At 41.6% G+C, this 11,344-nt stretch overlaps 1 long non-coding RNA gene across 1 annotated transcript; it reads right to left on the bottom strand.

Moving 5' to 3' along the window:
• Window positions 1-964: 964 nt before the first annotated feature.
• Window positions 965-5,584, bottom strand: LINC01761 (long intergenic non-protein coding RNA 1761). The gene is made up of 4 exons (NR_033966.1): window positions 5,146-5,584; window positions 4,947-5,007; window positions 3,341-3,577; window positions 965-2,982 (listed from the first exon to the last, which is right to left on the bottom strand). It is a non-coding gene; the product is annotated as a long intergenic non-protein coding RNA 1761 (long non-coding RNA).
• Between the last annotated feature and the right edge of the window lie 5,760 nt (window positions 5,585-11,344).

Raw genomic sequence — 11,344 nt, 5'->3', positions numbered from 1 at the left:
AGCTTTCTGGGGAATTTTCATTCAGACTGAGCAACACAGACTTTAAAATTGGGGATGGAGAATAATATCTACCTCTGTGGATAAAGACGCATAGAGAGTCATGTGGTGGAGATTAGAAGAAGGATACATACATTCTTGCTGAAAGGGCTAACTTAGAAGTGGAATGCAGGCCTGGGCACAGTGGCTCATGCCTGTAATCCCAGTACTTTGGGAGGCTGAGGTGGGTGGATCACGAGGTCAGGAGATCGAGACCATCCTGGCTAACATGGTGAAACTCCATCTCTACTAAAAATATAAAAAATTAGCTGAGCATGGTGGTGAGAACCTGTAATCCCAGCTACTCGGGAGGCTGAAGAAGGAGAATGGCATGAACCCAGGAGGTGGAGCTTGCACTGAGCCAAGGTTGCGCCACTGCACTCCAGCCTGGGCGACACTGCGAGACTCCATCTCAAAAAAAAAAAAAAAAGTGGCCTACAAAGTTAACAACTATGGCAATTATGAGAGGACCCCCATTAAAATTTCTCTTTTCAGGTGAGTTTTCCATGGAATGTGGGGAAAGTCATAATTTGAACAACATTAAATATCCCCCCTTTACCCTAAACCTTTTATTCAATAACATACCTGTACACCCCTGTGAGAGGGTACTGGGGAACAAGAGATGGGCAGTCCAGTGTGGGTGAACCACATCCTCAGTCCTCTAATGGCTGCCTGGAGGGAGCTGCAGCCTATGGAGGTATCATGGGGACCATGGGCAGGAATTTCAGGCAGGGTGGGCCTGGGGGCTTGGAAGGCATTGGGAGGAGTGTATGAAGATGGGGTGGACAATTTGGGGACAACTCCTATTCTTTCCTAACTCTTCAGAGGAAGAGAACCCTATAGGAGAAGAAAAAGTGGACATTTGAGTAATACCTGTATTAGTCTGTTTTCATGCTCTGATAAAGACATACCCAAGACTGGGCAATTTACAAAAGAAAAAGGTTTAATGGACTCACAGTTCCACGTGGCTGCAGAAGCCTCATAATGATGGTGGAAGACAAGGAGGAGCAAGTCACTTCTTACATGAATGGCAACAGGCAAAAAGAGAGAATGAGAGCCAAGTGAAATGAGTTTCCCCTTATCAAACCATCAGATCTCATGAGACTTATTCACTGCCATGAGAACAGTATGGGGCAAACTGCCCCCATGATTCAATTATCTCCCACCAGGTTCTTCCCACAACAAGTGGGAATTATTGGAGTACAATTTAAGATGAGATTTAGGTGGAGACATAGAGCCAAACCATATCATTCTGCCCCTGACCCCTCCCAAATCTCATGTCCTCACATTTCAGAACCAATCATGCCTTCCCAGTAGTCCCCCAAAGGCTTAACTTATTTCAATATTAACTGAAAAGTCAACAGTCCAAAGTCTTGTCTGAGACAAGGCAAGTCCCTTCCACCTATAAACCTGTAAAATCAAAAGCAAGTTAATTACTTCCTAGATACAAAGGGGGTATAGGCATTGGGTAAATACAGCCATTCCAAGTGGGAGAAATTGGCCAAAGCAAAGGAGTTACAGGCCCCATGCAAGTCCAAACTCCAGCAGGGCAGTCAAATCTTAAAGCTCCAAAATGATCTCCTTTGACTCCATGTCTCATATCCAGGTCATGCTGATGCAAGAGGTGGGTTCCCATGGTCTTGGGCAGCTCCATCTCTGTAGCTTTGCAGAGTACAGCCACCTTTTCCAGGTGAAGTGTGCAAATTGTCAGTGGATCTACCATTCTGGGGTCTGAAGGACAGTGGCCCTCTTCTCACAGCTTCACTAGGCAGTGCCCCAGTAGGCACTGTGTGTGGGGGCTCTGACCCACATTTCCCTTCTGTGCTAGCAGAGGTTCTCCACAAGCACCCTGCCCCTGCAACAAACTTATGCCTGGGCATCCAGGCGTTTCCATATATCTTCTGAAATCTAGGTGGAGGTTCCCAAACCCCAATTCTTGACTTCTGTGCACCCTCAGGCTCGACATCATGTTGGGGCTGTCAAAGCTTGGGGCTTACACCCTTTGAAGCCATGGCCCAAGCTGTACCTTGACCCCTTTTAGTCATGGCTGGAGCAGCTGGGATGCAGGGCACCAAGTCCCTGGACTGTGCACAGCACGGAGACCCTGGGCCCAGCCCAGGAAACTATATTTTCTTCCTAGGTCTCCACACCTGTGATGGGAGAGGCTGCCAAGAAGACCTCTGACATGCCCTGGAGACATTTTCCCCATTGTCTTGGGGATTAACATTCAGCTCCTCATTAATTATGCAAATTTCTGTAGCCAACTTGAATTTCTCCTCAGAAAATGGGATTTTCTTTTCTATCACATTGTCAGGCTGTAAATTTTACAAACTTTTATGCTCTGCTTCCTTTATAAAACTGAATACCTTTAACATCCCAAGTCTGAATTAACACATCCCAAGTCACCCCTTAGATGTTTTGATGCTTAGAAATTTCTTCCACCAGATACCCTAAATCATCTCTCTCAAGTTCAAAGTTTCCCAGATTTCTAGGGCAGGGGCAAAATGCCACCAGTCTCTTTGCTAAAACACAACAACAACACATATCTTTGCTCCAGTTCCCAACAACTTCCTCATCTCCATCTGAGACCACTTCAGCCTAGACCTTATTGTCCATATTGCTGTCAGGCTTGTGGTCAAAGTCATTCAACAAGTCTCTAGGAAGTTACAAACTTTCCCAAATTTTCTTGTCTTCTTCTGAGCTTTCCAAATTGTTCCAACCTCTGCCTGTTACCCAGTTCCAAAGTCGCCCCCACATTTTCAGGTATCTTTTCAGCAACACCCCACTCTACTGGCACCAATTTACTGTATGAGTCTGTTTTCTAAGATAAAGACATACCTGAGACTGGGCAATGTACAAAAGAAAAAGGTTTAATTAGACTCACAGTTCCAAGCGGCTGAGAAGGCCTCACAATCATAGTAGAAGACAAGGAGGAGCAAGTCATGTCTTACATGGATGGCAGCAGGCAAAAAGAGAGAATGGGAGCCCAGTGAAATGGGTTTCCCCTTATCAAACCATCAGATCTCGTGAGACTTATTCACTACCATGAGAACAGTGTGGGAGAAACTGCCCCCATGATTCCATTATCCCCCACCAGGTTCCTCCCACAACACATGGGAATTATGGGAGTACAATTCAAGATGAGGTTTGGGTGGGGACACAGAGCAAAACCATATCACCACCCCATGCTCATATCTGAAACATAAAACTTTACTTGCTATCTACTTTGGCCCTTTCAGGCCAGTGTGGCTATTCTGTTTGTATATAGGTCTTCTCTAGTAAGAAGCCAAATATTTAAACTCACCTTTTCCCAAGGAGAGAAAAGCATGGGTCAGACCTCCAACATTGGCTGGCAACTACCAGATGGAGGGACCCAGTCAGGGGAAAGGCGGTGAGATGGCCTGGGGGGCTCCAACTGCCCCTTTTCTTTGGAACCAGGCACGAATTAGGCCAATAATTTATTGCTCCCCATTCTGTAGTATCTCTTTGTGCCCGTGTGTGTTCATGTGGGTGCGTGTTTCTTCTGTTGTGTATTCCTCTCCTGTTAAAAATGTAATGAACTCAGTCCAGGTACTTTTGTGGATTGTCATGCTATCCCTGTAGTTGATTCTAATGTCCAAATGTTTCATTATTTGCCAATGGTGCAATAAACACTGCTATGGCTAAAAAGTCTATATTTTCTATGAATGGGCCTATCTCCCACAAAAGTATACTAACAAAGGAAAACTAGACCTATTAGACCTATTATAATAACATAATCTGAATAATCTGGCAGCAGAGCAAACTGAGACTTCTATATATAAGTATTATTCCTTTTTCAACAAAGAATCACACGTCCTGATATCTTGTCAATTTGTTCTCATCCCCTGCCCTTGTTTCATATGGAGCCCTGTCAAATTCTATCTAAAGCCTTACACTCCTCTGCTTTTGGGGCTTCTGTGTCCTCACATGACTCCTACAGTGCCAGGTGCTCTGGTACCAGCAAAAAACATTACAGATTTAACGGTAGTTAGATTTTAATTTCATTACTTTGGACTTTAACCTGCCCTCTAATTAGATGATGAACTAAGGAAAATCTAATTACTTTTTCAATATTCCTTCAGTGGCATTCTTGATTATTGCTGTGTCCCATTTCTACAACTCACAGGGGCTTCCTGAATGTGGATAACAATCACCTCTTTCCCAAGAAAAGCTGAAGTAACTCCCTTTGTTAAAGAGTTGGAAATGGGTTTGTTGGTTTGTTATGTGTCTGCTGTTTTATATTAGAATTGGCTCTGTAAGTTTCACCCCTACCATGAGATTAGTCAAGTTTGGGCACTCAGGTAGCCAGAAGCATTTAAAACATGCTACAATTGGCCTCTGTCTTGAAACAATTCTCTTTTGTTTTGCAAGACAAGCGTATGACCTTTCCTTCAGCCAGGAGCCAGTGGGTAATGGATTACTTGATTGACTGGGTATGACACTGCTGTTGAGAAAAGTACTTTGAACATATTTGGCAAGTTGAAAGTGGCACAGCTCATTAGGATACCATTATGTTAATTTGAAATGCCACTCAGGTAAGGAAGCAGTTCTGCTATAATGGTACATTGTAAAGAACTGCCTGGATCCTTCAGATGGAAATGGCCTTACGGTGGTGAGGCCAGCTAGATGGTGTGGATCCCAGGACAATGTAATAGGCCGTGCTACCTGCCCAACTCCTATGACTGCCTTTATAAGGAAGGCAAGAAAAGAGACTGGAGTATCCTTGTGTTGCCTGATTGACTCCCACTGGCTTCATGGATTCAGGCAAATGAAGGAAACAAGAAAATAATAGGCTATGTCTAAGCTTTTGTCTTTTGCCTCTGACCCCACATTTCTTGGGGGGGGATTAACTCGCCACCAATTAACTTGCCCCGTTCCCCCAGACTCACCACAGTCACCACAACCACTGGAGTGAAAATGAAGGTCCTCGTGCTTCTTTGCATCAGATTCCTGGATGAGATTTCACAAACAGCCAAAGAAAGGGACAGTATCGTTAAAGATTAAAAACAAACACTAGTAACCCCAACCAAGAATTGTAATGGCAACTAGGGGAACAAGAACAACAGCAAAAAAGACAAAATTGCTTACCAAATGTTTACAGACACTTCATAGCCTCTCTACCTCATTTTGATTAAACTATTTAATATGTTGCATTTACTTTCAGTGTATCGGAGATAAGGTCCTGTGAGTTTGAAGTCTGTGATCCACCAACAAACATATTTTGCAGTAAGAGGTTTTCTTGTGGAGAACAGAAAAAATGCTGAGCGAGAGAAGCTATCCTACCCAGCAATTCAAAGATATTTCCCCTTCTCTGCTTTTACTGAGAGGCAAGATGACTCTTCTGCTTCTGGGAGGGTCAAAACACAGAAAGAAAACCAGTCCAGAGGAAGGATTATCTTGGATACAAACCCTTTTCCTGGGATACTAGCTAATCCAAAAATACAAGCTGGTGCAAGACAGCTAAACATCAGTCCAGCTCCTCTTTGTGTCTGTAAATGTAGCTCCATGTAAGTGACTTGGAACAATTAAACCACAAAATCCCAACAAAACAAAGTGCAGACAATTTATAGCCCAGCTACAGCAGCTAGGGAGGAATATCTAATAGTCTTACCTAAGAAGCAATTACAAATGAAAGGGCTTCTCAGTAATGGAGATTTTTTTTTTTTCAGGAGGCACTCTGCCAGAAAATTTTTTCACCAAAAGGCAGAGATCCATAAAACCTCCCTTTTAATAAACTATATCATTAATAGATGTACCAGGCATATTTGCAACATTGGAGGAGAGCATGTCTCTCAGTAGAAAAATGAGTAAATAGCTAGAGCTAAATATATATGGTTAATGAAGTCTGTACTCTTTGAAGGCCTTAACCATGGACAGTCCAGGGAGTACAAAGACTGTTGGTTTCAAAGTCCAATGAGTAAGAATTCAAATGGAGTTCCAACACTTACTAGCCCTAGGATTCAGGCAAGTTTTTAACCTCTCTGAGCCTTGGCTTCCTCAGTTGGATAAAAAGGACAGTAGCATTTGCAACCCGGAATTACTATGGAGCCAGCGCATAACAGTTGCTCAACAAATATTACATCCCTGATCTTTTTTTTGCACAATTATAGAATAAAAATAGGAATAGTATAAATTTCTACCTTTTATACAAGATAGTACATGATGAAAACAAAGGAAAGAATATTTAATGTCATTTAAAAAGAAAATATCCTAAGAGGCAGAAGACCTGAAGTCAACTCCTGGCTCTGTCCATTTCCATATCTATAATTCTGCTCTTCCATCTCTCTGGGCCTCCAACTTCTCATCTGAAAACTGGAGAGATCTGACCAACTTGTTGCTCCCTAGGGTTTCTTCTGGCTTTGAAATTCTTTGATTTCACTAATGACTGTTCTTGTTGATAATGTGTAAGCCACTGAATAGATAAGTACTTAAAGCCCAATCATTTTGTATTAGAAGCAGCAGCATATAATAGTAATGAGAAGCTTCTAAAACTGGACTGCTTTGGAATTTGAATTCCAGATTTGCCACTTACTAACTCAGGGACCTGAGAAATTTAATCTCTCTGTGTATTAGTTATCTTATCTGTAAAATGAGTAAAGTCATAGTTACTTGGGTCATGAAGATTTAGTGAGTTAGCCGTGGAGAGTGCTAAGAACAGCATCTGACACAGAGTAAGCAGTCAATGAATGACAGCAGCTCTTTGTTGTTGTTGTTGCTGTTATTATTGTAGTTGTTAACTATTAAGGGGAGATGCAGTAATCACTACAGTGGTTTGGCCAACTTTGGATTTAAAATATAGTGATTTTGTCTTTGTATAAGTGAGTTTTAATCAATTATCTTTCTATGTGCCCATCATCCATTCAGTCCCCACCTGCTTCATTATAAACACCCAGAGCAATGACTGTCCCTACTTCTGTAGCCCAAGTGGGCACATGCAAGACAGCTCTGAGTTCTCTATATATGGAAAGAAGACCAAGCCCAGAAAAATGTACTGTTAAGCACTGCCATAATTTGTGAAAAGGTCAGACAGTTACACAAGCATTTTGCTGAGACCAGAGAAAAGCAAACAAAGACTAATACAAGTGCAAAAGACTATGATTTCAAAGTAAAAGACACGTTGAAACTTTTTAAAGAGTCACTTTCTGAATATTATGAAACTTGAGAAAAATTTATATCAGCAATTTATAACATGACAGCAATATTACCCAAACAGTTAAAACAAGTGATTGATCCAGAGCAGATTTTTATGCCAACTAATCTAATTTGTGTTGGCAGCAGGTATCTTCTAGAAGTTTTATATTCATTTAATGGCATTTTCATTGTTTAGTGTCTATGACACTTTGATCTCACCAACTATAATCAGCCACAGTACAACTAGGTAGAGTGAACACCAGGGATTGTTACTTCAAAGAACAGACTCTCTGCCCTCAAAGAGCTTACAGTCTAATATGAGCAATTATAACCCAGCACAAGATGTAAAGAGTGACACTGTGTGGTTCAGACATCAAGAAAGCAATAAGGCTTGAGGAGATGGGGATAGTGCTCTTTGATAATGTGTTTCAGATGCCATCTTACTGATAATGTGTCTCATTTTACTTTTACCTAGACCTGGCCTCTAGTTCCACTTTTCGTTTTCTCTACAGATTCTTCCAGCCTTAACTATTTCTAATTCCACTAAAAAAAAGCAGTTTGCTACTGATTCACAGAACATTTCAACCCCCCTCACACATTTTCATTGACTTTCATCACACAGAACTTAATTTTCTCAAGTTCAATCATTGGTAATACTATAGTTTAAAAGAATTTCCTAATGTAGCCCTTCTGAATCTCCTAATAAAATATTGTTGAAGATAAAAGAGCAAATTCAAACAGAAACTCAAGAACATCTAGAAAATAACAATAGTGAAAACACAGTATATAAGACCTTATGGAAATAGTTAAAAGAGAAGTCAGAGGAAAAATAGTATCCTCAAATACTTCTCTGAATACAAAAAGAAATAGGAAAATGTGTAAATTAGGCACCCAAGTTGCAAAATACAAAATAAGGCTAAGAAAAGCAGAAAGGTGAAGTTAATAAAGATAAGGAGAAATGAATGACTTAGAAATGAAGAAAAAAGGTGCTAAACAGTAAAATATAAAATTGATTAAAAACACCAAAAAGTAAACAACTTATTGTCCGCTCTGATAAAGAAAAGAGAGGAAAAGCAAAAAAAAAAAAAATACAAAATACAAAATATAAAATAAAGATCTGAGGGTGAGGCAAGATGGTGGAATAGAAGGCTCCACTGATTGTTCCCCCTACAGGAACGCCAAATTTTAACAACTAACTGCACACAAAGAAGCACCTTCATAGGAACCAAAAATGAGGTAAGTAATCACAGAACCTAGTTTTAACCTCATACTGCTGAAAGAGGCACTGAAGACATAGGAGAGACAGTCTTGATTCACAGATAACACCTCTCCCTCATTCCTCCCAGCAATGGCCGTGCAGCACAGACAGACAATCTGTGCACTTGGGGGAGGGAGAGCACAGTGACTGAGTGACTTTGCATTGAACTCTGTGCTACCCTGTCACAGCAGAAAGTAAAACCATGCTGAACTCAGTCAGTGCCTGCCCACAGAGGGACCATTTGGACCAGCCCTAGCCGGAGGAGAATGGCCCATTCCAGTGCTTAGAATTTGAGTTTCAGCAAGCCTCACCACAACAGGCTGAAGCGTACTAGGGTCCCAAGTGAACCTGAAAGGCAGTCTAGGACATAAAGACTGAAAATCTTAGGCAAGTCCTGGTGCTATGCTGGACTTAGAGCCAATGGAATGGGGCAGCATATGACCTAGGGAGACATCAGGCAGGGTGGCTTAGAAGTGTTTACAACACCCCTCCCCTAACCTCAGACAGGGAAGCTTAGAGCAACAAAAGTGACTCTTTCCATCTGCTTGAGAAGAGGAGAGAGAAGAGTAAAGAGGATGTTGTCTTGCATCTTGGATACCAGATAAGCCACAGTAGGATAGGGCACCTGGCAGAATTATGAGGCCCATATTCCAGGCCCTAGCCCCCAGACAATATTTCTAGACACACATTGGGCCAAAAAGGAACACTATTCCTTGAAGAGAAGGACCCAGTCCTGGCAGGATTCACCACCTGCTGAAAGAATTGTTGGGCCCTGAATAAACAAGAGCAATACCCAGATAGTATGCCATGGACCCTGGATGAGACTCTGAGATGTGCTGGCTTCAGGTACCAGCTCAACCACAGTGAAATAGAACACCAAGCAGGCTCTTGGGTTCCAAGTCCAGGCTTAGGCTCTTGGACAAAATTTTTGGAAGTGCCTTGGGCAAGAGGGGAGCCCACTACCCTAAAGTGTGAGTCCCAGGCCTGGCAGTATTCACCACAGACTGACTGAAGCACCCTTGGACCTTAAGTGAACATCAGCAGTGGCCTGGCAGTGTGATCTGCTTATGGGCTAGAGGTGGTAGTGGCCACAGGGAGAGGCTCTTTTGCCTGTGTAAAGGGGAGGGAAGAGAGAAGGACTTTGCCATATAATCTGAGTGCCAACTTAGCCAGAATAGAAGAGAATACCAGGTAAATTTCTAAGGTTTTTGACTCTGATTCCTGGCTGCCAGACAGCATCTCTGGACCCGCCCAGGGCCTGGGGGAACTCACCAACCTGAAAGGAAGAATGCAAACCTGGCTGGCTTCACTACCTGCTGATTGCAGAGCCCTAAAGCATTAAGTGAACATAGGTGGCAGACAGGTAATGGTTACATCAGGCCTTTGGAAAGACCCAGTGTTGTGCTGGCTTCCAGTCAGAGCCAGGGCAATTCTAGGTGTGATGGCCACAGTGTGCCTGCATCACCCCATCCCTACCTCCAGGTAGTTTAACACAGAGAGAGAGATACCATTTGTTTGAAAGAATGTAAGGAAAGAGAAAGAGTCTCTGTCTGATAATCCAAAGAGTTCATATGGATCTTATTCAAAACCACCAAGGTGATACATCTACAAGTCTGCATGAACCACAACATTACTGGGCTTGGGTCTCACATTTCTTCAAATACCTGAAAAGCCTTCCCAAGAAGGACAGGCACAGATTGAGAAGCCCACGTTGTGAGAACTACAATAAGTACGTAACTTTTCAATGCCCAGACACCAAAGAACATCTACAAGCATCAAGACCAGCCAGGAAAATATGACCTTGTCAAATGAAGTAAACCAAGCACCAGGGACCAATCTTGGAGAAACAGCCATATGTGACCTTTCAGTCAGAGAATTCAGAGTAGCTGTTTTGAGAAAAAAAGAAATTCAAGATATCACAGAGAAGGAATGCAGAATTCTATCAGATAAATATAACAAAGAGATTAAAGTGATTAAAAACAATCAAGCCAAATTCTAGAGTTGAAAAATGCAATTCACATACTGAAGAATGCATCAGAGTCTCCTAGTAGCAGAACTGATCAAGCAGAAGAATTAGGGAGCTTGAAGATAGGCTATTTGAAAAGACACAGCCAGAGGAGACAAAAGAAAAAAAAAAGAATAAAAAACAATAAAGCACACATTCAATATCCAGAAAATAGCCTCACAAGGGCAAATCTAAAAGTTATTGGCCTTAAGAAGGAAATAGAGAAAGTGATAGGGGTAGAAAGTTTATTCAAAGGGATAATATCAGAGAATTTCCCAAACCTAGAGAAAGGTATCAACATTCAAATACAAAAATGTTATAGAACATCAAGAAGATTTAATCTAAAGAGGTATTGAGGTATTAAATACCTCAAGGCATTTAACCCAAAGAGGTTTTGAGGTATTAAATACCTCAAAGCATTTAATAATCAAACTCCCAAAGGTCAAGGATAAAGAAAGGATCTTAAAAGCAGCAAGAAAGAGAAAAAAAAATACACAATTGAGCTCCAATACATCTAGCAGCAGACTTTTCCGCTGAAACCCTACAGGCGAGGAAAAAGTTGCATGACATATTTAAAATGCTGAAGGAAAAAATTTTTACCCCATAAGAGTATATTCAGTGAAAGTATCCTCCTTCAAGCATGAAAGAGAAATAAAGACTGTCCCAAACAAAAGCTGAGGGGTTTCATCAACACCAGACCTGTCCTACAAGAAATGCTAAAGGAAGTTCTTCAGTCTGAAAGAAAAGGACATTAATAAGCAATAAGAAATCATCTGAAGGTACAAAACTCACTGGTAATAGTAACTGCATAGACAAGCACAGAATATTATAATCCTGTAATTGTAAGGTGTAAGTTACTCACATCTTAAGTAGAAAGACTAAATAATGAACCA

This window comes from Homo sapiens, chromosome 1, assembly GCF_000001405.40.
Source record: "Homo sapiens chromosome 1, GRCh38.p14 Primary Assembly".
NCBI lineage: Eukaryota > Metazoa > Chordata > Mammalia > Primates > Hominidae > Homo > Homo sapiens.
Note: the sequence above shows the minus strand (reverse complement) of the source record. Positions and strands in the feature narration are given on the sequence as shown.